The 25,100-nt window shown below is 48.6% G+C and overlaps 1 protein-coding gene across 4 annotated transcripts, besides 8 other annotated features; it reads right to left on the bottom strand.

Annotated features, from left to right (window-relative positions):
* Positions 17-276: an enhancer, noted in NCBI's record as "active region_6314". NCBI's record gives its function as "activates an Ori minimal core promoter by ATAC-STARR-seq in GM12878 lymphoblastoid cells {active_cell/tissue: GM12878}" and the evidence as "EXISTENCE:reporter gene assay evidence [ECO:0000049][PMID:35858748]".
* On the bottom strand, positions 13,128-19,930 carry DNAJC22 (DnaJ heat shock protein family (Hsp40) member C22). Of its 4 annotated transcripts, XM_047429555.1 has the most exons (6): positions 19,267-19,930; positions 18,713-19,174; positions 17,106-18,052; positions 16,961-17,024; positions 15,618-15,656; positions 13,128-15,501 (listed from the first exon to the last, which is right to left on the bottom strand). In XM_047429555.1, the coding sequence occupies exons 3-6, from the start codon at positions 17,943-17,945 to the stop codon at positions 15,470-15,472; spliced, it is 975 nt and encodes a 324-aa protein (XP_047285511.1). In that variant the 5' UTR covers positions 17,946-18,052; positions 18,713-19,174; positions 19,267-19,930; the 3' UTR covers positions 13,128-15,469. The 4 variants fall into 4 exon arrangements, with proteins under 4 accessions (XP_047285511.1, XP_047285512.1, NP_001291873.1 ...); XM_047429556.1 differs by lacking the exon at positions 15,618-15,656; NM_001304944.2 differs by lacking the exons at positions 15,618-15,656; positions 16,961-17,024.
* Positions 18,288-19,231: an enhancer, noted in NCBI's record as "H3K4me1 hESC enhancer chr12:49741370-49742313 (GRCh37/hg19 assembly coordinates)". NCBI's record gives its function as "activates a minimal SCP1, AML or CMV promoter by ChIP-STARR-seq in naive H9 embryonic stem cells {active_cell/tissue: H9 hESC(naive)}" and the evidence as "EXISTENCE:reporter gene assay evidence [ECO:0000049][PMID:30033119]".
* Positions 18,894-19,113: a silencer, noted in NCBI's record as "silent region_4434". NCBI's record gives its function as "represses an Ori minimal core promoter by ATAC-STARR-seq in GM12878 lymphoblastoid cells {active_cell/tissue: GM12878}" and the evidence as "EXISTENCE:reporter gene assay evidence [ECO:0000049][PMID:35858748]".
* Positions 21,146-21,265: a silencer, noted in NCBI's record as "silent region_4433". NCBI's record gives its function as "represses an Ori minimal core promoter by ATAC-STARR-seq in GM12878 lymphoblastoid cells {active_cell/tissue: GM12878}" and the evidence as "EXISTENCE:reporter gene assay evidence [ECO:0000049][PMID:35858748]".
* Positions 21,286-21,385: a silencer, noted in NCBI's record as "silent region_4432". NCBI's record gives its function as "represses an Ori minimal core promoter by ATAC-STARR-seq in GM12878 lymphoblastoid cells {active_cell/tissue: GM12878}" and the evidence as "EXISTENCE:reporter gene assay evidence [ECO:0000049][PMID:35858748]".
* Positions 21,416-21,605: a silencer, noted in NCBI's record as "silent region_4431". NCBI's record gives its function as "represses an Ori minimal core promoter by ATAC-STARR-seq in GM12878 lymphoblastoid cells {active_cell/tissue: GM12878}" and the evidence as "EXISTENCE:reporter gene assay evidence [ECO:0000049][PMID:35858748]".
* Positions 23,737-24,248: an enhancer, noted in NCBI's record as "H3K4me1 hESC enhancer chr12:49736353-49736864 (GRCh37/hg19 assembly coordinates)". NCBI's record gives its function as "activates a minimal SCP1, AML or CMV promoter by ChIP-STARR-seq in primed H9 embryonic stem cells {active_cell/tissue: H9 hESC(primed)}" and the evidence as "EXISTENCE:reporter gene assay evidence [ECO:0000049][PMID:30033119]".
* Positions 24,450-24,589: a silencer, noted in NCBI's record as "silent region_4430". NCBI's record gives its function as "represses an Ori minimal core promoter by ATAC-STARR-seq in GM12878 lymphoblastoid cells {active_cell/tissue: GM12878}" and the evidence as "EXISTENCE:reporter gene assay evidence [ECO:0000049][PMID:35858748]".

Below are 25,100 nucleotides of genomic sequence, written 5' to 3'. Positions count from 1 at the left end.
GCCGCTAGGGGAGTCGAGCGCGGGGCTTTTGCTCAATGTCCGGGTTGGGAAGCTTTTTCTCTGGCCGCCGGGTACAGCGCCGCTCACTCTTCCGTACCGAGGACTTCACACCGCTTTCCCCTTCGCCTCCTTCCCGACCCAAGTTTTGTTCCAAAAGGCAATTTCAGAGTCGCCAACGACGGGAAACGCTGGGGCCTCCGGACCGCGCGGTCGCTCTGCCTCCTGAGAGAGCGCAGAGGCCGGTGGGGGCGCGGGAAGAATGACCTCGGGATCGTCAGTCGGGTTTCTGATCTACCCAGCTGTCAGCATAGCCCCTCTACGCGGCGGTGGTCGGTCCCGCCGCCCTTCGAATCTTTTCTGTTAAATACTCTCTTCGACGCCAGACTCCCAACCTCCCTGGTGCTGGAACTAACTAGTATTTGTGCACCCTTTCTGCATGCATAAAGCACTTACCTCAGTGTCGACTGGTCAGGGGTCTATTAAGAGGGGCCAGAGGGATTTAGACAGTCAGCATTGAAAATATTTATTAGAATCTGGGGCCGGGCGCGGTGGCTCACGTCTGTAATCCCAGCACTTCTGAGAGGCCGAGGCGGGCGGATGACTTGAGGTCAGGAGTTCGAGACCAGCCTGGCTAACATAGTGAAACCCCGTCTCTACAAAAAATACAAAAATTAGCCGGATGTGGTGGCACACGCCTGTAATCTCAGCTACTCGGGAGGCTGAGGCAGGAGAATAACCTGAACCCAGGAGTCGGAGGTTGCAGTGAGCCGGGATTGCACCACTGCACTCCACCCTCCATCTCAAAAAATATATATATATATTAGAATTTGTCCTCATCTTACCTTTTGAGGCCAAGCAAAGGGGCTCTGAAAAGGCACCAACAAGCTGGAGAGTGTGTGTCAGTGTATAGCTAGACACCACAGGCACATGTCATTTTGGTTTCCACGTATGTTATTGCAATCACAGTACATGTAACTGAGTAGTATAGTAGAGCTTTGCCAAGCCATCTGATCCTTGTGGTTTTTAACGTTGCTTGAGGTAAGGGCTCAAAAATCGCCTGGAGTCCAATGACCTGTGGTTAGTAATGTCTCATCTACTCCAACCATATGATTTACTGATCTAGATAAGCAGAAGACGAAGTCATCCAGCTAGGTACGGCACTGGACTATATGTTCCTTACTATTCAATCTTCATTCAAAAATTCAAATAGAAGCAAATTATCCAAATGTCTGCTTTCTTTTCATTCACTAAATTGGCACCTACTCAATGATGGTGGGTATTGTTCTAGGTATTCGAACATTTACAAAGAAGAATAAAAAAAATCATTACCCCAAGGAGAGTATCCAGTTCCAAAGGAGGATAAAGTTATTAAATAGGCCAGTTGCAGCAGCTTATGCCTGTAATCCCAACACTTTGAGAGGCCAAGGTGGGAGGATTGCTTGAGCCCAGGAGTTTGAGACCAGCCTGAGCAACATAACAAGGTCCCCCATCTCTACAAAAAACAAATATAAGTTATTAAATGACTATAATAACATAGTGTTGAAGCAGAAAAGTACAAAGTGGTTTAGGAACAGAAAGGAATGAGTGACTAATTCTTGCACAATTCCCCTTCCTTCCCATACAGAGTAGGAACAGGAGGATATGACCCTGGTAAATGGAGAACTTCATCATGAGGTGTGGGATGCGAGCCTTGAGTCCTATTCCACAAAGACTGGTTTCACTCACCAAAAGTCACTCAGTTCAGGAAATGCCTTCATTATAGGGCCTGTTGGTGCTGCAAAGCCAATACAAGTTTTTTGGCTGGAAAATAAAGTCCCCATTCTTGGCCAGGTTCGGTGGCTCATGCCTGTAATCCCAAAACTTTGAGAGGCTGAGGTGGATCACTTGAGCCCAGGGGTTTGAGATTAGCCTGGGCAACATAGGGAGACCCTGTCTCTACAAAAAATAAATTAGCTGGCTGAGGTGGCTGTGCTTGTTGTCCCAGCTGCCCAGGAGGCTGAGGTAGGAGGATTCCTTGAGCCCAGGAGGTCAAGGCTGCAGTGAGCTGTGATCACGCCACTGCACTCCAGCCTGGGCAACAGAATGAGACCTTATCAAATAAAAAAAGTTCCCATTCTTAATAACGTAGTCTGTTGTGGGGAAGACATGATGCCTCTCCCAAGAGATTCCCTGATCTAATAGGAGAGACTTTTTTGTTTGTTTTGGAGACAGGGTCTCCCTCTGTTGCCCAGGCTTGAGTATAGTGGCACAATCATAGCTCACTGTAACCTTGAATTCCTGGGCTCAAGGGATCCTCCCCGTCGGCCTCCCGAGTAGCTAGGACTATGGCGCCGGCCTCCACGCCCAGCTAATTTTTAAATTTTTTGTACAGATGGGTGTCTCAACACATTGCCCAGGCTGGTCTTGAACTCCTGGGCTCAAATGACCCTCCCTCCTGGGCTTCCCAAAGCACTGGGATTACAGGCCTGAGCCACCACACCCGGCTAGGAGACACTTTGTATATGTGGATAGCCTTCTCCAAGAGAAGGGAGGTAGATTAAGGAGCACCCTAGGGTATGAGAGCTGTTAAAACATCACTGGAAATCTAACAAGATGGAGAATATTGCATTTAACAAGTCTCCTCCAAGGGAAAGTTTGGGGTGTGGTTGGAAGGCACATTTTGCTAAGCCCCTGGGGTGGTAGTAAACATGACCTCCTCACAAGGATTTTACTCAAAAAATATCTCTCCTCCAAGGAGAGCAGGTTGCTTTAGCATATGTCTTGCTGAGTGGGGTTTGCAAAAGGGGTACTGCAACTCATGGCCCACCTTTGCCCTTTCTCCATGCAGCACTCAACCTCTCTAAAGGGACATTGAACAAATGTTTCAAAAATATTTTTTGACCTGGGTTACAAATATTAATTTTGTTGTTGTTGTTTTTGAGACGGAGTTTTGCTCTCGTCGCCCACGCTGGAGTCCGATGACCCAATCTCAGCCCACTGCAACGTCTGCCTCCCGGGTGCAAGCAATCGTCCTCTCTCAACATCCCGAGTAGCTGGGATTACAGGCGCCTGCCACCAAGCCCAGCTAATTTTTGTATTTTTAGTAGAGATGGGGTTTATACCATGTTGGCCAGGCTGGTCTCGCACTCCTGACCTTAGATGATCCAACCGCCTTAGCCTCCCAAAGTGCTGAGATTACAGGCTTGACCAGGCCTGGCCTATTTTTGTTCTTTATAATGCACATACATTTTCTACTGTGTATGTTTATTTATGTATTTTTTTGAGACGGAGTTTCACTCTTGTTGCCCAGGCTGGAGTTCAATGGCATGATCTCAGCTCACCGCAACCTCCACCTCCTGGGTTCGAGCGATTCTCCTGCCTCAGCCTCCTGAGCAGCTAGGATTACAGGCATGTGCCACCCCGCCCGGCTAATTTTGTATTTTCGGTAGAGACAGGGTTTCTCCATGTTGGTCAGGCTGGTCTCGAACTCCTGACCTCAGGTGATCCACCTGTCTCAGCCTCCCAAAGTGCTGGGATTACAGGCATGAGCCACCGCGCCCGGCATACTGTGTATGTTTTACTTCACAATAAAACATTTATCGTCACCTGCCTTGAAATAATTGCAAATTGTTCAAAGTGCATGTATAAATTATTTTGGAGGAAAATAAATGCTGCAATAAATGCAAAATATAATATTTGTGACCTACGCTGAAGAAAACACAAAAATAACCAAATTTCTGAAATGTTTAGCATAGATGTTAAGGGTTAAAAAAGAAAAAGATCATTTTCAAATGAGATCCATTAGCCTCTGTTCAGCCTTACGAAATTAATTTATCCCATGTTACTTAATGATCAAGTGCCAGAACTAGAATTAGAGAGAAATCATGACATAAGCTTCACCTTGGCAGATATATTCTGCAGGTATTAACCTGACCTAATTTGATATGTTTTCAAATGGATCCTTGACTTGATATTTTGTATCTTAAATAATTGATTGCCAGATTCCATGTTTTTATTAGGAAGAAAAAGAGGCCAACTAGAGCCTGAGAGGCACAAAAATTTAACTTATTATCTTGGAGACTTGATAACCAATGACTGTAATTAAGAAACATAATGTTTTAAAGTTTCCATTGACTGAAGCTGCAAGTGACAACAGGCACAAAAACCAGTAGAGAACAGCTCATAAGATTGTACTTTTCCTTTTGCCTATACTAACCCTAGTACCTAAGAATATTCATGTTAGCAGTCCAAAGTGTGCCTCAGAAAATTCGTTTCATGGGATACTAAATAGATGTTATCTGAGAAAACTATTCCATGTCCAATTAAGTTTGGGAAGCACAGGTTAAAATCAAGTTAAACTGGTGTATTTACTTCCCAGAATATTTAATATGATACCATGCTTTGTTCATATTGAAGCGAGCAGGCTATGTAGTGTGCAGCTTTCCCCAAGGAAGCTCTTCCCACTCCCATCCCCACCCCCAAGACTTTTTTGCAGAATTAATGTGTCTTTGAACATCCATTGTATAAAGTTCAATTAAAATGGTTTAATTAGGTCAGATTTCCCATTTTACAGATAACAAAACTGAGGCCCAAAAACAAGGCTAACATACCCAAATTTTCACTTGTGTATCAGATATTTAAAGCTGGGAAAGGCCTTAAACTATCAAAGGTTGAAGTGTTACATCACAAAATTATTGGCAATGCTGGACCCAAAACTCAGATCTGAAAAATTCAGTTCAATGTGAGCCTTGCAGGTTCATTAAGACTTGACTTTGATATTAAGTGAATTTGTCCTATGTGTAAGATAGTAACTAATATTGCTGTACTCTAAGTTCTTTTATTAAGTTTTTAAATTATCTTTCATTTATAGATTCTGTCACCACTTTAAAAAAATAGTATGCTTCACTTCTGTCAAATGTTTTATACTTCATAAAGCACTCTGTACACATTGTCTCATTTGATTGTCTGAACATTGTGTGGTGCAGGCATCATTGTCCTCATGTAACAAATGAGGAAACTGAAGCTCAAAATTTTTCAATAATTTACCTAGGTTGCACATTTAATAAATGTCCTGCTATTTACATTAGGAGAAGACACAGTCACTTGCCCTCAAGCAGCTTTGGTATAGTTAAGAAGAGAAGACTTGCAAACATGAGACAGAGAACAATTTATATGGCAACATGCAAGAAACTTATTGATAGAACAGTACAAACTAGATGGGAATACAGAAGGAATTCAAAGGGCAAAGATTACTAGAGGTGGAATTAATCAGCAAAGGCATCATTTAGGGATAAACCTTAAGCTAGGTCATAAAAGAAGTGTAAAGATTTGTATTAGCAAGGCTAGGCATGGTGGTTAATGCCTGTAATCCCAGCACTTTGGGAGGCTGAGGCCGGTGGCTCACCTGAGGTCAGGAGTTCGAGACCAGCCTGGCCAATATGATGAAATCCTGTCTCTACAAAAAATACAAATATATTAGCCTGGCGTGGTGGCGGGCGCCTATAATCCCAGCTACTCGTGAGGCTGAGGCACAAGAATCACTTGAACCCAGGAGGCGGAGGTTGCAATGAGCCAAGATCACACCACTGCACTCCAGCCTGGGCAAGAGCGAAACTCCATCTCAAAAAAAAAAAAAAAAAAAGATTTAGCAGAGAGGAAAAATAATTATAGGAAAGAAGAAGAACATCAACCAAAGGCAGAAATATCAAAACAAACACATTGATGGAGAAGAATTAGAGCCTGAAGGGAGATGGGTCTGAAATGATCAGTCATCTTGGCTGTGCAAGAAAAGTCAACTGCTAAGACGAAGTAAGTTTGCAGGCACTGAATATCAAATTTACTGAATATTAAACGTACACTCTCTCCTGTGGTTCATGGGAGGGAAAGGGAGGAAAAAGCAAGAGAAACCACGTCTAAAGTGGGTAAGGATATGGAAGGAGGGGTGGGGGAGTAAAACAAGCCTCAGTGGCCCTCAGATCTGTGACTGGGAAACACCTGAACCAAAGACGTTTTATGTCCCACAACCCCTTCCCATTCTTTTCTTTTTTTTTTGAGACAGAGTCTCGCACTGTCACCCAGGCTGGAGTGCAGTGGCGCGATCTCAGCTCACGGCAACCTCCACCTCCCGGGTTCAAGCGATTCTCCTGCCTCAGCCTCCCAAGTAGCTGGGACTACAGGTGCGCCACCATGCCCAGCTAATTTTTTTGAAGTTTTAGTAGAGACGGGGTTTCACATGTTGGCCAGGATGGTCTCAATCTCTTGACCTCGTGATCCACCTGCCTTGGCCTCCCAAAGTGCTGGGATTACAGGCGTTAGTCACCGGCGCCAAGCCCCATTCCTTTTTTTTTTTTTAAGAGACAGGGTTCTCACTCTGTTGCCCAGGTTGGAGTGCAGTGATGGGATCATTGCTCACTGCAGCCTCCAGCTCCCAGGCTCAACTGGTCCTCCCATTGCAGCCTTCCCAGTGGCTTGGACTACAGGTGTGAGCCACCAGGCCTGGCTAATTTTTTTTTTTTTATAGAGATGGGGTCTCCCCATGTTGCCCAGGCCGGTCTCAAACTCAAGCAATCTTCCCCACTGGGTTCAAGTGATCCTCCTGCCTTAGCCTCTCAAAAGTGCTAGGATTATAGGCATCAGCCACTATGCCTGGCCTTTTTTTTCCCCACTCTTGAGACAGATTAATAAATTTCTTATTTATTTATTTGAGGCAGGGGCTTGCTCTGTTGCCTAGGTTGGAGTACAGTGGCAGAATCATAACTCACTGTAGCCTCAAACTCCCGGGCTCAAGTGATCCCCCCGCCTCCGCCCATCATCACACCCAGCTCCCGTTCCTTTTCTGGTACTAATTCACCTGAAATGTGCCTGAGCCATTGATTCTAGGAAAAATGCCCTTTTAGGTGTTGCTTGCAAAGCCAGGCTCACATGCTGACTCAGTCACTGCCCAGCAGATGTTCCCCACAACATTTCTCAACCCAGAATTGGGACTGAGGTCTGGCACAGAATGGGTTAAAAGATTCCCTTCTGGGCTGGGAGTGGTGGCCTGTAATCCCAACACTTTGGGAGGGCAAGGCGAGCAGATCACCTGAGGTTGGGAGTTCGAGACCAGCCTGACCAAAATGGAGAAACCCCCGTCTCTACTAAAAATACAAAATTAGCTGGGTGTGGTGGTACATGCCTGTAATCCCAGCTACTCAGGAGGCTGAGGCAGGAGAATCGCTTGAACCCGGGAGGTGGAGATTGTGGTGAGCTGACATGGTGCCATTGCACTCCAGCCTGGGCAACAAGAGCGAAACTCCGTCTCAAAAAAAAAAAAAAAAGATTCCCTTCCAAGTTTCCCATACAGGGCACTGTTTTACTGCTTTGTTCTGTTGAAACTTGTCAGTAACGTTTAAACCCAGAAAGTCCAAGATCCTTGCTTAGAGTCATAATAGTTTGCAAATAACCAGATGGACTATGGAAAGGGTGAATGAGAGGTGGGGAAAAAGAAGAATAAGAAAGAAAAGAGAGAACAAATTATTGAAATGAAGTATCTTTAGCTGGAACCCTACATAAATTTTTTACTTTTATTGCTCAAAACTCATCTTAGCAAAAACAAAACAAAACAAAACAAAACAGTTGAACAACTTTTAATCCCTTGAGGCGACTAACAGAAATACTGCAGGGAACATGAAGCAAAAGAAAAACATTTTAAATCACCTTCTCAGGGTGGGAACTTCAAAAGCCAAAGCACTGGCATGAGATGTGCGTTCAAAGTTCTAACATGAAATAGACAGCTCTAGATTCCCCTAGGAGATTAAATGACAACTGAAAAGCATGCTTCAGTTGGAGCTTGCTTTGAATAACACCCCAAATCCAACTTCACAGTTGCTTGCTCCTTCTCAGCAAAAGGAGAGGACTGAACTCTGGTAATGAACCTGCTATGGAGGTGCCACTACCACATTTTTTTTTAAGTGAAGGGGACAGCCGAGGGACATATTTTACCATGACAGCCTTGTAGCGCCATCTGCAGTTCCTAGCTAAGACTACAACAAACCACACGTCTCCAGGCTTGTTAGGACCACCCCACTGTTCAAGAGAAAAGAAAACTAAGACATAGAGTACTAAAGTCAGTGAGTCCTCAAAAGCCTCCTGGGTCCTAGAGTAGATGCAAACATAGCTCTAAGACACAGTGCCTAGGAAAAGATCTAAGGGCCTCAGTTGACTATAAACTCAATGAGTCACACTTACATAGCAACCAAAAAAAGCTAGTAAATTTTTAGGCTGCTGGATTTAAAGGATGATATATTGTTCAGACCTTGAGAACGTAACAGCCCCACAGTACCCCGTTCTGTCTGAACACGTCTCAGAATTGCATTTAGTTCTGGGCACCACAATTTAAGAGCAATATTGACAAGAGCTATAAAAAATGTTCATACCCTTTGACCCAGTAATCCCACCCATGGGAATTTATTCTAAGGAAATAATTCAAGAGAAGAGATGAATTAGAGCCATGAAGATATCGATGCCACATTATTTACAACAACATTATATAAATGTTTATCAAAAAGGGAATATTATACAGCTTTAAGATATAATGGTGTGTTATTAAAAAATAAAATGTAATGATAATGCATGCTTCAACATATTTGAATCATTTTTTCTTTTCTTTTCTTTTTTTTTTTTTTGAGAGTCTCGTTCTGTCACCCAGGCTGGAGTGCGGTGGCACAATCTCAGCTCACTGCAACCTCCTCCGCCTCCCAGGTTCAGACGATACTCCTGCCTCAGCCTCCTGAGTAGCTGGGACTACAGATGCATGCCACCACACCCAGCTAATTTTTGTATTTTTAGTAGAGACAGGGTTTCACCATGTTGGTCAGGCTGCTCTCAAACTCCTGACCTCGTGATCCGCCCACCTCAGCCACCCAAAGTGCTGGGATTACAGGCGTGAGCCACCACACCCAGCCCATATTTGAATCTTGGAAACATTATGTTCAATGAAAGAAGCCAGACACACACAAAGGACAACATATTGTGTGATGCCATTTAAATAAAATGTCCAGGATAGGCAAATCTAGAGACAGAAAGCAGATCAGTGATTGCAGAGGCTAGGAAGAGGAGGAAACAGAGAGTGATTGCTGATGAGTATGGAGTTTCTTTTTGGGGTGGTAAAACATTCTGGAATTAAATAGAGGTGATAATTATACAACTTTGTGAATCTATCAGAAACCACTGAATTGTACACTTTTAAAGGGTGAAGTTTATGCTATATGAATTATATCTCAATTAAATATATATAATAACAAAGTCTTTATAGTAATATTTTAAAAGCTTATTGAATCACAAGCATTTTTTTATTTTACTGTAAAAACATCATCTTTATCAGGGAGGGGGGAAAGTACAAAATTATGTCCCTGATATGATTCAACCATGTAAAATGATGTACATTTATGAACGACGACTAGAAGTGAACATGAATAACTGAAAACAAACAGTGTGATGCAAGTGAATTTTTGGAGGGTGAGATGGTCATTATATTGTTCTTCGAGCAATTAAATATTTTATTTTCTTCCCAAAACAATGTCCACAAGGGGGCAGACAGAAGATGACAAATAAAACCATTTAATAAAAACCTCAGCTGAAAAGCTAATAACTCCAGAATGCAGGTTGAAAGCAAGCTTAAAGGTCATCTAGGCTGGGGTCAGTAGCTCATGCCTGTAATCCCAACACTTTGGGAGGCCAAGGTGAGAGGATTGCTTGAGCCCAGGAGGTAAAGGCTGCAGTGAGCTATGACCGTGCCACTGCACACCAGCCTGTGCAACAAAGTAGATTTCGTCTCAAAAAAAAAAAAATCATCTAAGTCATCTAAGTCCATCTCCCTCACCTGACAAGAAAGAAACAGAGGCCCTAATGGAAAGGTGGCTCACCCAAAGTCACCAGTATGGTCAATGCAAGAGGTAGAAGTAGAGACCCATCTCTTCACCTCTTCATCCCTCCTCACTCGGACTACAGTGCCTCCTCCTTAAACAAAGTGATGGTAAATGTGGCAAATGAAAGACTTAGAGAGATAGGAGATGAAGGGCAGAATCTCATCAAGAAATGGTTTTTGGTTTTTTATGTTCTTTGTAGCAAGAGATGGCAGGTCCAGAAAGACATTACAAGGAAGCAAATTTAGGAACAATTTAGGGAACAATTAAGGATGTCTAAAAGGTGAGACAGGTAGAAGATTTCCAATTCAAGCAAAACCCGAAATGGTCATCTCTAAGGCAAGCTTTTCCCAAGATTCTGTACTGTATAGTTGCTTGGGATACAGGCCTTCTCAGTTCCCTTCCAACTCTTCAAAGTATCTATGAATTTTTGTTTTGTGCAAATGGGAGAATATGAAATCACTGGATTTCATTAAATCAACTAAGGTAGAAAATAAAGAAGACTCACTTGTTAATGTCTTAGATTTCCTATTATTTTACTAAATGTCCTTTTTTTAAGACCGTATTTTGGGTTTTGTTTTAATTTCATTTACTTATTTGTTTTTATTTTGTTTATTTATTTATTTATTTCAGACTGTGTCTCACTCTGTTGCCCAGGCTGGAGTACAGGGGCGCAATCACAACTCACTCATGATTGACCTTCTGGGCAGCCACATTTTCTTTTTTCTTTTTTTTTTCTTTTTATTTTTTGAGACGGAGTCTCACTCTGTTGCCCAGGCTGGAGTGCAGAGGCGCCATCTCGGCTCACTGTAACCTCCGCCCCCCTGGGTTCAAGCGATTCTCCCCACTCAGCCTCCAGAGTAGTTGGGACTACAGGCGTGTGCCACCATGCCCGGCTCATTTTTGTATTTTTTGTGTTTTTTATTTTTTGAAGTGGAGTCTCACTCTGTCGCCCAGGCTGGTGTGCAATGGCGCAGTCTCAGCTCACTGCAACCTCCACCTCCTGGGTTCAAGTGATTCTCCTGCCTCAGCCTCCTGAGTAGCTAGGATTACAGGCATGTGCCACCACGCCTGGCTAATTTTTTGTATTTTTAGTAGAGAAAGGGTTTCACCATATTGGCCAGGCTGGTCTCAAACTCCTGACCTCAGGTGATCCACCAACCTCAGCCTCCCAGAGTGCTGAGATTACAGGTGTGAGTCACCACGCCTGGCCACAGCAACCCTTTTAAAGTAGATACTTGGCTCATACCTGTAATCCCCGCACTTTCGTAGGCCAAACGGGAGGGTGGGTTGAAACTAGAAGTTAGAGACCAGGTTGGGCAACATGGCAAGACCCCATCTCTACCAAAAAAAAAAAAAAAAAGAAAAAAAGCCAGGTATGGTGATGCCTGTCTGTAGTCCCAGCTACTTGGGAGGTTGAGGCAGGAGGATCACTTGGGCCCAGGAGTTCCAGGCTACAGTGAGCTGTGATCACCCCACTAAACTCCAGCCTGGGCAACAGAGCAAGACCCTGTCTCAATAAATAAATAAATGAAAAAACAATTTTTTTTTTGAGACAGAGTCTCGCCCTACCACTCAGGCTGGAGTGCAGTGGTGCGATCTCAGCTCACTACCTCATCTCTGCCTCCCGGGTTCAAGTGATTCTCCTGCCTCAGCCTCCTGAGTACTTGGGATTACAGGCATGCCCCGCTGTACCTGGCTAATTTTTGTATTTTTAGTAGAGATGGGTTTTCACCATGTTGGCCAAGCTGGTCTCAAACTCCTGACCTCAGGTGATCCGCCTGCCTTGGCCTCCCAAAATGGTGGGATTACAAGCGTGAGCCACCGCGTCCAGCCAAAAAATTTTTTTGAATAAAGTAGATACTATTATCTCAATTTTAAAGGAAACTAAGATTCTAAGAGGCTGAAGAAATAAAAAATACGACAACTAGAAAATAACGTAACATGATTCAAATCCTACTGTTGTTCTTCTGACTCTAAAACTCATGCTCAAGGATGAAAGACAACTCATAGGCGAGGGAAAAATATCTACAACACATATTACGAGGGTTAAGGTTTCTAACATGCAAGGATTCCACCAAACTAGATTTGAAAGCGACAAATAGGAACACAACTTTAGAATAAATGGAGAATATGATGAAGCAATTCACTGAAGAGAAAATCCAAATGCCCAATAAAGATTTGAAGAGATGCTGAACTTCATTAGGAGTCAGGGAAATGCAAATTAAAGTAATTAGATACTATTTCTCACGATCATCTTGACAAAAGTTTAAAAGAGTGGTAACATTCCAGGCCAGTTACAAAGAAAATGCCAGTTTCTTGCACTTGGTGAAAGTCTAAACCATTAAAACGTTTTTCAGAAGAAATCTGATACAATATCAACCAAATACATTTGTTTGAGGCAGGTTCTTGCTGTGTTGTCCAGGATAGAGTGCAGTGATACCATCACAGCTCACTGTAGCCTCAACCTCCCAGGATCAAGCAATCTTTCCACCTCAGCCTCCCAACTAGCTGGGACTACTGGCACATGCCACCACACCTAGCTAATTTTGTGTTTGTTTGTTTTGTTTTTTTAGTAGAGATGAGGTCTCACTAGGTTGCTCAAGCTGGTCTTGAACTCCTGAGCTCAAGCTATCCTCCCACCTCAACCTCCCAAAGTGCTGGGATGCCAGGCCTGAGCCACCATGCGTGGCCCAATATGATATCAATCAAAATTGTAAAAAACATGTTCTCTCTTAGACCGTACTTATCACTTATTGGGATATAGCTTCAACAAAAAACAAAAAGCATCAGTACATATATTCAAAGATATTTATTGTAGCCTTGCTTATGCTGGAAAAATAAGAACTGCTTATCAGTAGTTCCCATTTGAGTAAATTAAAATATATCCATATTTTGTAAAAAAAAAAAACTCCATAATACAATTTGAGAACAGTGGCCAGGTGTGGTGGCTCATGCCTGTAATTCCGGCACTTTGGGAGGCCAAGGCAGGCAGATCATGAGGTCAAGAGATCGAGACCATCCTGGCCAACATGGTGAAACCCCATCTCTGCTAAAAATACAAAAATTAGCCGGGCGTGGTGGCAGGTGCCTGTAATCCCAGCTACTCGAGAGGCTAAGGCAGGAGAATTGCTTGAACCCAGGAGGCAGAGGTTGCAGTGAGCCAAGATCCAGCCTGGGTGACAGAGCAAGACTCTATCTCCAAAAAAAAAAAAAGAGAGAGAGAGAGAATAGAGAGAATAGTCATCAACATAATTCCACTTTATTTATTTATTTATTTTTATATTTTTGAGACAGGCTGTCACTGTGTCACTCAGGCTGGAGTGTAGTGGTACGATCTCAGCTCACTGCAGCCTCCACCTTTTGGGTTCAAGTGATCCTCCCAATCTCAGCCTCCTTAGCTGGGACTACAGGCGCACCCCACAACACCTGGCTCATTTTTGTACTTTTTGTAGAGATGGAGTTTTGCCATGTTGCCCAGGCTGGTGTTGAACTCCTGGGCTCAAGCAATCTTCCTGCCTTGGCTTGCCAAAGTGCTAGGATTATAGGCAAGAGGCACCATGCCTGGTCATAATTCCACTTTAAAAATGATATATATTACTCAGATTTAACATCCAGAAAGAAGAAAAAAATGGAAAGAATGCACACACACAAAGAGAGCAAGAAAGCTGCAGTAAAGGCACATAATTTAAAATCATGTTCCTGGTCTCCAATCTTCCTCTGCAAAGTGAGACACCCTGGGCCCTTTCTTTCACACCTGGCTAGTTACCTAGAATTGAATAAGGCCCCCTTGAGATGCTCTAGCCGCTGGTTCCCTAGGGTTTCCCAAAGTCCCCAAAGGGACATATGACATATAAAATAATGAATCTTTCTGAGTCCCCATAAAACAATGTTATCTGTCCCTCCTCCAATGTGCCAATACACTATTTACAGCTCTTATGACATTTAGTTCAAAACACTGAACAAGGGCTTTGATATCTGTGTACCTGTGTCATTATCTCCCATCAGATTGTATGCTTCTAGGAGTAGGGTATGTAGCCCAGAATCAGACCTCAAATACTGGGAAGACCTGAGAAGTCAGCCAGTCCAATCACCTATGTAAAGTCTGAGAGCTCTCCAAAAATTCTCCTCTAAGCAGAGGAGGAAGAACTACCCCCCACTCCACAGTAGCTTGTTCCCTTTTGGAGAAAGTGTAGCTGCTAGAAAGTTCTCCCATAAATGGAATGAAAATATTTTTCTCAAATTTTGAAATTTAATCCTAGTCTCACCCCATCTACAGAAAAGATCAAATCTCTCTTATCACAGGACAGCTTGTGAATACTAGAACCTTCATATTTTTCCTTCAATCTCCTAACATAGTGCTTTATACATTTATTTATTTATTTATTTACTTACTTATTTATTTATTTAATTTTTGAGACAGAATCTAGCTCTGCCGCCCAGGCTGGAGTACAGTGCAGTGGCTCAATCTCAGTTGACTGCAACCTCCACCTCCCAGGCTCAAGTGATTTTCCTGCCTCAGCCTCCCGACTAGCTGGGGCTACAGGCATGTGCCACCATGGCTGGCTAAGTTTTGTATTTTTAGTAGAGATGGGGTTTCACCATGTTGGTTGGCCAGGCTGGTCTTGAACTCCTGACCTAAGGTGATCCTCCCACCTCAGCTTCCCAAAGTGTTGGGATTACAGGCGTAAGCCACTATGCCCTGCTGCTTTACACATTTAAAAAAATAGTTAAATAATCTTTCTCCATCACACATCAATATATCATGGGTGGGATAAGGTGGTGTGTTCTCTAAAAGATATATTTTTTCTAATTAATTTTTTATTGATATATAATAGTTGTCCATACTCTAAAAGATATTTGATTGTTTTATAATATGCCTTTCACTCTCTGGTTTTAAGAAAAATTGTCAAGAATGCAATAGCCAAGAATTCAGAAATTCAGAATATAAACACATCCTTCTACCACAACCTTTTCTCACCCCATTGTTTTCTCATGTCCCCTGCAAGCAGTTTTTCTTTCTTTTTTTTTTTTTTGAGACGGAGTTTCACTCTTGTTGCCCAGGCTGGAGTGCAGTGGCGTGATCTCGGCTCACTGCAACCTCCGCCTCTCAGGTTCAGGTGATTCTCCTGCCTCAGCCTCCCAAGTAGCTGGGACTACAGGTGCCTGCCACCACTCCTGGCTAATTTTTTGTATTTTTAGTAGAGACGAAGTTTCACTATATTGGCCAGGCTGCTGGTCTCGAACTCCTGACCTCGTGATCTGCCCGCCTCGGCCTCCCAAAGTGCTGGGATTACAGGCATGAGCCACCACGCCCAGCCCCTGCAAGCAGTTTCTTTAACTCTGTTGGGATGCCATTCGTGGGCAAAGCTAGATTTGGGACAAGTTGCCCAGCTCTGCTAGGAAGAGTCAGTCCTCAGGGGGAAGTTTCTTTTCACCTCCGGGATCCCCAGGGCTTCCTGGGTTGACTCAGGACTTCATACGCAGCCTGGATCTCCAGGAAGTGCCTCTGTGCCTCCTCTGTCTGGTCCAGGTTGTGGTCTGGGTGCCAGACCTTCACTAGCTCCTGGTAACTCCGATGTATTTCTTCATTTGTTGCCCCTTCTGAGAGGCCCAAAACCTTATGGAAACAGAAGATGACAAATTAGAATCCCCCAAGTTGTCAGGGTACCTGGGCCTCTCCTTGCACCTTTGCTAAATCAGGCTATCATATCTCTAGAATTGGCTTCTACTTGCCCGTGGGAAAGGTCCAGCAGCTCAGGTTAGAATTCCAGCCTTATAGAGTAATAATAAAAGAAAAAAATTATTTTAGAAAAAAGAATTCCAGCCTTTTGAAACATAGACAAGCTCTAGATCTCATGGCAAGAGCCATTAACCACAACTGCCCATTTTCCAACCTGGAACTTCATATCCCTGGCAAGATCTCTTCCCCACAAAAGACATAAATGTATATATGTCCACCAAAGACATGTACAAGAAAGCTCATAGCAGCTTTATTTATAATAGCCCCAAACCATAAACAACCCAAATGTTCATTAACAATAGAGTGAATAAATTAACTGTGGTATAATCATACAATGGGATACTACACAACAGTGAAAACAAACAATTTACAATTGCAAGTAACAGGAGGAATAATGGTCGGGCGTGGTGGCTCCTGCTTGTAATTCTAGCACTTTGGGAGGCCGAGGCGGGTGGAGCACCTGAGGTCGGGAGTTCGAGACCAGCCTGACCAACATGGAGAAACCCCGTCTCTACTAAAAATACAAAATTAATTTGGCGTGGTGACGCATGCCTGTAATCCCAGCTACTCGGGAGGCTGAGGCAGGAGAATCACTTGAACCTGGGAGGCAGAGGTTGCAGTGAGCTGAGATCGCGCCATTGCACTCCAGCCTAGGCAACAAGAGTGAAACTCCATCTCAAAAAAAAAAAAAAAAAAAAAGAATCAAGAGGAATACATCTCATAAACATGATGTTGAATGAAAGATGAAAGATGCCAAATACAAAAGAACACATACGGGATGGTTCCACTTATTTGGAGCTCAAGAATGAGCAAACCTGGCTGGGCACGGTGGCTCACGCCTGTAATCCCAGCACTTTGGGAGGCAAAGGTGGGTGGATCACCTGAGGTCAGGAGTTGGAAACCAGCCTGGCCAACATGGCGAAACCCTGTCTCTATGAAAAATACAAAAATTAGCCGGGCGTGGTGGCACACGTCTGTAGTCCCAGCTACTCGGGAGGCTGAGGCAGGAGAATCGCTTCAACCCAGGAGGCAGAGGTTGCAGTGAGCTGAGATTGTGCCACTGCACTCCAGCCTGGGCAACACAGCGAGACTCCATCTCAAAAAAAAAAAAAGAAGAAGAAGAATGAGCAAAACTAATGTATGGTGACGAAAGTCTGAATAGAAATGACCTCTGAAGGTGGGAGTATAGGCTGAGAAGGGGAATAAAAGAAACTTCTTAGTGCTGGAAATGTTCCATCCCTTGATCTGAGTCAGGTATACATAAAATTAGTGCAATTTATATATGTTGTACCTCAATAAAAAGTAAATAATATACACATATATTTTTCCTACTCACAGCATCTGTAACCTTTGCCCATTGTACACAGATATCCAAAGAAGCCAGAATATCCTTCCAGCACCTGGCCAACAGACAAAAGTACAGTACTTCCACATGAGGGCCACCAGAGCCACCGGACAGGACTGAGGGAAGAAAGCCTTACCTGGTAAGCCAGCTGACGCTTCTCATCCTGAAAACTGTGAACAAACTCATAGAGCTTCGCCCACTCCTGAAAGCAGCTGCTGTTGAAGCCAGTCTCCCCCATCAGTAGCCTCCAGATCCGGTAAGGCAGAAGGAGGACAAACTCCATGAGGCGGCCAAGAAGGGGGAAGAAGCTGAACCAATTCAAGAAGGAGCCAAAGGTTTCTGCCACATAGCTGAGGGTGGCAGCTGTGTTGCAGAGGGCACTGTATGCCAGTGGGCCTGTGAAAGCAAGGTAAGCCAAGCCCAGACGATAGAGCCGCACACTGAGCGGCTCTGATGCCACCAAAGCTTTGTAGCGGCGATGCCTCTGAGCTGTAATGCTGGCGGCCACGCTAATGGGCAGTATGGCTATGGGGCGGCCATAGAAGATAGGTGAAGTGAGAAATGCTGACCCCAGAGTGTTCTTAAAGTCTGAGGTCTGGTTGCCAACAGCAGCCACCAGCAAGACCCCTAAGCCAACTGCCAGTGGGAGGGCCACAATATAGAAGTTGACCATGGAAGAAAGGCTAATCAGTGCCACAAGGCCAAAATAGATGCCAACTATCACCTGGGCAGCAAAGCGAATGGGACTCAGAGGGGGTGTCACCCCTCTGGGGCTCTGCCTCTGTCCCTGGGCTCTGTTGGCCTGAGCTACAAAGCTTGGGAGCTTCCAGAACTCCCAGAGCCAGCCCAGCCCACCTCCCCCCAGGGTCAGCATCCAGAGCAGGGCGTGGCTGTCCCTTCCCAGGTACAGGTGGTGGAGCCCAGCAGGGCCCCCCACAGCCCAGAGGGCATAGGTCACCAGGAGCCCCTTGGCCATCCTCTAGGGCAAAGGTCTCAGAACAAGTCCGGTTACTCGCAGCACAGAAGTCTCGGGGTCCTCTGTGAGACTCATGGCTGTCATGGCCCCAGAGTTATCCTTAGACCCTAAGAGATGGGAAAAAGTAGAGTCATAAGATGATGTCCAGGCTCCAACACAGCAACCATTTCTCTTTCCAATAAAAGTTGAGTACAGATCTGCCTGAGTCCCCAGTGCTATTTATCTCATATCCCTTGTCCTAGCACCTCAGTCCCATTCTTTACAACCACAGTGACTCCAGATTTAGAGGAGAAAGCTGTTTAAATTTCAGACTTCCCCTGAGACCCATGACCCCAAATGACTCATGGGGGGATGTGTGGAGGGGCAGGGCTGCATTGGATGCTTTTCCAAAGTTCCCACACATTTTGAAAGCCTCTGCCTTACCCCTGACTTAACTCCAACTGTGGCTGCCCTCCCACACCTGGCCCAGGCTTTAGCCACTCTCCTGCCTTCCTAACTCTCCAGGCCATGAGATTTTCCCACAGGTCAAACTTGAAAGGGGTCCTGAATTCCCTTTATTAAAATATTCTGGAAAACTTCGTTTGACCTAGACCTTGGCACCCCACAATTCAACCACCTCTTTCGGAGGCCGGCTTGGAAAGCCACTCCACAGCAGCTGGACAAATCCTCACAATATCAAACTGGACGCCAAGCGTGCCTGCCAGTGTCCCCTCTATCTGGAGCGACCACCAGCCAGCACCCGCTACTTCCAAATCAAGTGGCCATACCTGGGTGCCCCGCTCCCAGACCGAGTCAGACCAGTCATTTCCTTTGACCACAGAGTGAAAATGGCCCGTCTCGCCCTGCTCCCACTTCCATCCAAATGGACTTTGTCTTTTGTGTCTGTTGTGTCACGGAAGTCCGGCTTCCCCAGGCCAGGCTCCTCCCCAGGGCCCTCCCCGGCCCCCTGGGGATCACATTCCCGCCTGGGACTCCTCCCGCCCGCCCTCGCGGGGAAACTCGGTGCAAGGCTCTGCAGACGCCTGCAGCTCCGGTGGGCTCAGTGCCCAGCCCGGGCCCAGCTCCTCCCACACCACCGCACCATGGCCGCCAGGTGGCGCTGCCGCCGATGGAAGGGGGGGTCCGGGCGGTCCCCAGACACCTTGTGCGGGTACCGAGGCACAGCAGCACAGGACTGCCCCTATGGAGGGGCTGCCTGGCAGGAGCAAGGGACGCTCCTATCTGTAGTGCTAAAAAAAAGGATAAACTCCTGTAAATGCAAGAATACGTCCTTGATTACCTCCTCCCACCCCCACAAATTGAAAGGTGACTCCTCCCTCACCTCAAGCTGCACGCTCCTCTCTTCACGCTCCGTTGACCTTCAAGACTGGATGGTTCCACCTCCAATTCCCTTAAGGCAGAGACATCCACGGACAGGCTGCAGTGAGGGACATCCAACCCAAGCTGTCCTCAACCCCCCACAGGGCTTGCTTGCCTCACCGGCCCACCTCCGAGCCTTCCAGTTAGGGGCTCTGCTTCTGCACCTGAGCCTGAGACCTGAGGAGCCTCCCAATCCAGGGCTGCTCTGTCCCGCGGGCTATGAACCAGAGGGAGAAACGGGAGCAGAGGGTTGGAGGGCAGGAGGCTCGACCAGGAGGGCGAGGCCGCAGCCCGAGGCTCGTGGTAGTCTGCCTTCCTGCGCCTCTGCGCTGCAACGGAGCTGCAATGCAAGACGCCTTCATTTCAATGTCCCGGGCTCCAATCCCGGGTTCTACTCCGTGAACTTGGCTAAGTCATGCAGCTTCTTGGGCCTCAATTTCCTTCTCTGGCAATCTCGTGGATCTCCGAGGTCCCCCAGTCTGGACTTGCGGGGGCTTCGGGGGACGGTCGGCCTCGCGGGTGTCACCTCCCGGCAGTAGGCAGAGCGCTTCCCTCCAAACGCCCTCAGCCCTCATCTCGGCCTGGAGAGGAAATGCTGCTCTCTATATGACCTCTTAGGGCTCACTGAGGGGCCTAGGCTGGGAGGGGCCCCAAAGCGACGCCTCAGACTGCTGGGGGGCGGGGGCGGACAGGAGCGCTGAATAATGAATGAGACTTAATTGGGCCCGCACTGCGCGACGGCGCGCTAAGCTTTGCAAACAGCGTGGGCGGCGGCGGCCGCCGCTGGACAAACAAACTATCTCCCGGCTCAGGTGGTGGGGCGGGGGCGGCAGCCATACAAGGGAGAGGGAAGGGGCTGGCCGCCGGGGCACCCGGGGCCGCAGCGCGCCCCCAGGTTTACTTCCCGAGGAACCCAGAAATGCGGGGCTGCGCTGGCGGCCCAGAGAGTGGGGGTCGGGAAGGGGCTCAGGGTTCGATCTCAGGAAGGGAGGAGTGGGGAGGGAGAGAAGCGGATTGTGCGGGGAGAGCCAGGGGCCCAAGGGCAATGTAAGCGCGAGGAAAAGCTGAAGAAACGAGTGGAGGGCAGAGGAGAGGGGAGAAGTGAGCGAGGAAAAAGCGCACCGGGGGAGGGGCGACGGGGTCGGGGGAGCGGGAGAAGAGCTGTTACCGGGAGGAAAGGGAAGAGCGATGGAGGAACAAGCGAAGGAAGGCGCAAGGGGCCGGGAGAAGAGGAATTGAAGAGTCAAGGAGAGGGATGGGAGGTGACCGGAATAAGAACGAGGGGGCGGCAGGGCGGGGGGAGGCGCCCCTGCCTCCGCCTCGCCCTGCAGCGCTCCCGGCCTAGCGCTCTCTCCAGCCGCCCGCACTCACTTTGTCACAATTACGGGGCCGTCACTCCGCCCGGATTGTTTTCCCCAAATTGTTGTTCTATAAACTGGTGCAGAGTGGGAGGTGGGGGGATCTGACAAACTGCAGCGAGAGGAAAGGGTCTGAGCTGTGGTGCGGGGCGCGGTGGTGCATTTACCCGCAAACTGGCCCCGCGTGGGCGGAGGAATCCAAAAAACCCACGCAGGAATTCTGGTTGCTGCCCCAGCTTCGTCGCTGACCCCGCTTTTAACTTTTTGGCTATTCTCAGCATCGGCTGCCTCGGTTTCCCCAGCAGAGCGTGACAAGGATCGGAGGCTGGGGTGGTGGAGGCGCTTGTAGGTGGGGTCCAAACCGTCCTGCCTGTCCCATTCTGTCTTGTTCTTTACTACCCGGGTCTCCCCGGCGGGGGATGGGTGGTCTATCCCAGCCCAGCGGTCCTCAGAGCGACCTCGAGTGCCTTCTTCCCCCGTGAGTGAGGCTTCTGCCCTCACCCGGTCTGGGCCATCTCCTACCCCGCCTGTGCCCTCCGACCCTCTGCCCTGCGCCGCTCGGTGTCCCAGCCTTTCAATTCGGCAAACATACGTTGCGCGCCCACTGAGTGCCAGCGCTGAGCCAGCCTCACCCCGCCGCCTCTCCCCCCCGCCACCCGCCCCTTCCCGGCCGGCCCGGCCTGTCGGCTCCGTGACAGCAGCCGCCGAAGCCCCGGCCCCGCGGGAGCGGCCAGAGAGGAGCCGCCGCATGGCTGGCTCCGACACTGGCCTCCCCGGCGGCTCCAGGGGCAACGAAGGGTGGCGGCCGCTGAAGCGAGACTGGAGCCTGCTGGGGGAGTTGGCAGGGCTGAGCGGGGGAGGGGGAGGCCCTGGGCGGGCTTCTCTCTGGTTCTCTAAGGCCTGTCGTTCTCATTCCGTCGCCCTCCGGTACCGCCCGGGTCCCGACCCCTCCTGGCTTCGCGAGCCTGGGACGTGGTAGGCTCCCCACGCCCCCTCCCCCAGCCCAGGTGATTTACACGCGGGCTCCGCGAAGCGGCCGCTTCCCAATCAGGAATATCGACCCCGGGCGGGGCCCCCGGGCCGCATCGATCCCTCTAAGGCTCGGGATTTAAAAATGTCAAATTTGCCTTTTCCAGGCGGGCGGAGGGGGCGGGGGCCAGGCGGAGGGAGGTTGGGAGGAGGGAGGGACAGCAGGGCATCGACCAGGCGTCTGTGCTCAGAATGTGAAGTGACCCGCGCGTGCCCGAGCCCTGACACGGTGTGACCATCCTTGGGTTAGCAATCACCTCTGGATGGGGGCAGGAAGAAAGCCCTCCTCCTTCTCCTACTCCAGTGTCCGTGGGGTATTCTGCTGGGCTGGTGTATTCTTAGAGAGAAGAGCCCCAAGAGGAACAAAGAGAGAGCCCCCCAAAATGTAGGAAGACAAATTTGGAAGATTCCTAAATGTGGAAATATGCAGACACAAAGGAGGGTACAAAGCCTGGGCGCCGTGACTCACACCTGTAATCCCAGTACTTTGGGATGCTGAGGTGGGTGGATCACCTGACATCAGGAGTTCAAGACCAGCCTGGTCAACATGGTAAACCCTGTCTCTACTAAAAATTAAAAAAAAAAAAAAAAAAAAGCCGGGTGGAGCCTGTAGTCCCAGGTGTTCAGGAGGCTGAGGCAGAAGAATCTCTTGAATCCAGGAGACGGAGATTGCAGTGAGCCAAGATCGAGCCACTGCACTCCAGCCTGGGAGACAGAGTGAGACCCCGAAAAAAAAAAAGAAGAGGACGTTTACAGAGATAAATATACAGAAGCTCCAGGAGATACCCTAGCCCCAAGGAACAACAAGACAAAGGGAAGGGGTCTTGCTGAACAAAACAGGGGGCCAGAGATCCAGAGTCAGCCCAGCTCTCTGCTCTGTAAACCCAGGAGGTTCAGGGCTGGGAGGAGGCCAGGTTCAACTTCTTGGTGTTTTTGAGAATGAGGATTGAGAGTGGAGACCAAGCCAAACTGAAGAGAGTTATTATGGAGAGGAATTAGAGTGCAGTTAGCATTATCCTCCCAAGGCATAAACTAGTAATTAACTTGGACTTGAGACCCAAAAGGTTAGGGTCTCCGAGGCTGCTAGTACAGGCTCCAAAGAGATAGGCTGCCTTGGAGGTCTGAAGGTCAGCCTCTCTCTTCCTGAGCATCACACAGGCATCTGCTCAACATCTACCAACTCCTCTCTGGCCACCACCAGCCTAGGTAGGCCACATGGGTTGGAGATCACATCTCACATTTGGAGACCTTGTGTATGTGTATGTGTAGGGGTATGGGCTAGACAACTCTGGCAGTAATCACTTTGTTCCCCAGGGCACAGCAACTAGGTGTCCAAACTTTGGCCAAAAAAAAAAAAAAAAAAAAAAAAAAAAAAAAAAAAAAAAAAAATCCACTACTTTCAAAACCCTTGGGGTAGGGATGTTAGTGGTGAAGGTGCTGGAAGGGAGCAGCTGTCCTGACCAGCACTCTCACAGTTAACATCTAGCACCACCCCCACCCCCCACCCCAGCAGCACACCTCAGCTGTCACCGTGCGCACTGCCATTTCCTCCATAACTGGAGACAGAGCTGACAGCCAGCTGGGGGGTAGTGGGGAGACGGACACACAGGGAGGGGTGGTGGCTCATCCTCAGAGGGAATCTCACACCTCCACTGACAAAATCATACTGACACATACCTGGTACTGACACACACAGTCACTGACCTCCCACGTGCGATCCACATTCATCAATCCCTGTCATACACGCCATCTCTGAGTGCACAGTCACGCACAATCTCTCAGAGGTCAGGCCGAATCGCCTAGTCTTGAGACCTGCCTAATACCCTTCCTTGACATCTCAGACCTTAAATCACCTAACCCCAGAAGAGGGCTTAGGTCCCCGCCCTTGCTTCCCAGCCAGGGCCAGCTCCAACAACTGGGAGGCCGAGCTCAAGGAAGTCAAGTCCCAGGGTCAAGGCGAAGGACCGGGAGCAGATGGAGCAGTGGGACTGTTAAACGCTTGCCTTAGTCCCCTCCTGCTACTGGCCTCTTTCCCGGCACGTCCACTCGCAGCCCGCCCGGCCCGCCACCCGCCTGTCAGTCGAGTAATGAATGCGCGCTCGGGGCCACGGGCCCCCCTGGAGTCGTTCATCACTGCCAGCACCGCCCACCCCTCTGCCTCCCGCCGGGAGGGCTAAGCGGCCGGGGCTGTAAGAGCCCCTCACCCCGCATCTTGACCACTAATTGTCAGATTGAGATGTTGATTTGTCAGCTGGGAGCTAGCGCCAAAGAATCTGCAGTAAAACCTGGACTCCTTGAACTCCCTCTCGGCTCCCCTCGGGTTCGCCAGGACTTGGAGCCTTTTTTGAGCGGATGCGGATTGGTTGGATTTCACTGAACGGAGCGGGCATAGAAGCGCAGTGTCATTCAAAGCCGGCAGGAGGCGCGCCAGGCTAGAAACCCTTGGTTTCCCTAGGAGGGGTCGCCCTGGGCCTGGTTCCATCTGTACCTGCCGGACCTCTAAGGCTTGGTTCCCAGCTTCCCAGCAGGGGGCGCCCTGGACCCCGGGCCTCCGGTCTCCGCAGCTTTTGTTCCCTCTTCCCCACTGGGAGGCCCCAAGCCGCTAGCCCCAGTTTCCCTTCGGGGAGTGCCCGGGGCCATAATCCCCCACCCTTCGGCCAATGCCTCAGGCCACAGTCCTCCACTGCCCCGCAGGAGGCGCTCCTGCCGCAGGTCCGCCCTCGCCCTGTCCTGGGCGCCTAGGCTGCAGCCGCACCCCGCCCTCTCCCGGGCCGGGCCCAGGAGCTCCCTGGGCGGCCGGCTGAGTGACGGGCGGCCGGTGATTATGCGGAAGGGGGAGCGGGGTGCGCCGCGGGCGGCAGCGCTGACCCTTCACATTTCCGATCCGCTGGGACCCTCATCCATCCGAAGCTGCTCTTTGTCTGGCCGCCTAATTGCCGGCGGACAGGATGGATGGCGGGACCGACAGCCGCGGAATCCCTAATAAAGGCCGCGGCCGCCGGGGAGGGAGTGCAGGAGGGAGGGGGAGCAAGAGGGAAGGGATGGAAGAAGATGGGAGGAAGCACCGGGCAGCGGTCTCTGGCTCCGAGGCGCTGCGCGCGGCGCTCACTGAAGTCCAGCCCGCCTGGGGTGCTAGTTCGGGGTCCAGGTCCGGGTGCGGTGGGTTGGGGCTCGTTAAGTGTCCTGCTCGTCAGAGAAAAGCTGGGGACCCCAAGCAGAAAGAGCATCCTAGGGCCTTCCTCGCTTAGCCGAGCCCTCGAGACTTGGAGCTTAGCACTACCTCCTGGTCTCGGGGCTCTCATCAGTATGCGCCCCTACCTCAACTTCCCGCACCCCACCCGCCTCCTTTCACCTGTGGGTCTCCCAGACCCGGAGTCAATATCCCAGAGGAGAAATGAGGGGTCTGACA

This window comes from Homo sapiens, chromosome 12 (genome assembly GCF_000001405.40).
Source record: "Homo sapiens chromosome 12, GRCh38.p14 Primary Assembly".
NCBI lineage: Eukaryota > Metazoa > Chordata > Mammalia > Primates > Hominidae > Homo > Homo sapiens.
The sequence above is the reverse complement of the archived record's forward strand: the minus strand, read 5'-3'. Positions and strand labels throughout refer to the sequence as shown.

What these genes read in the sequence shown, in the direction of transcription:
- DNAJC22 (NM_001304944.2), bottom strand. Translation starts at nt 17,945, where the DNA reads ATGGCCAAGGGGCTCCTGGTGACCTATGCCCTCTGGGCTGTGGGGGGC. An exon ending in AGCGTCAGCTGGCTTACCAG is followed by an intron (nt 15,502 to 17,105) that starts GTAAGGCTTTCT and finishes TGTTTCCATAAG; the next exon opens with GTTTTGGGCCTCTCAGAAGG.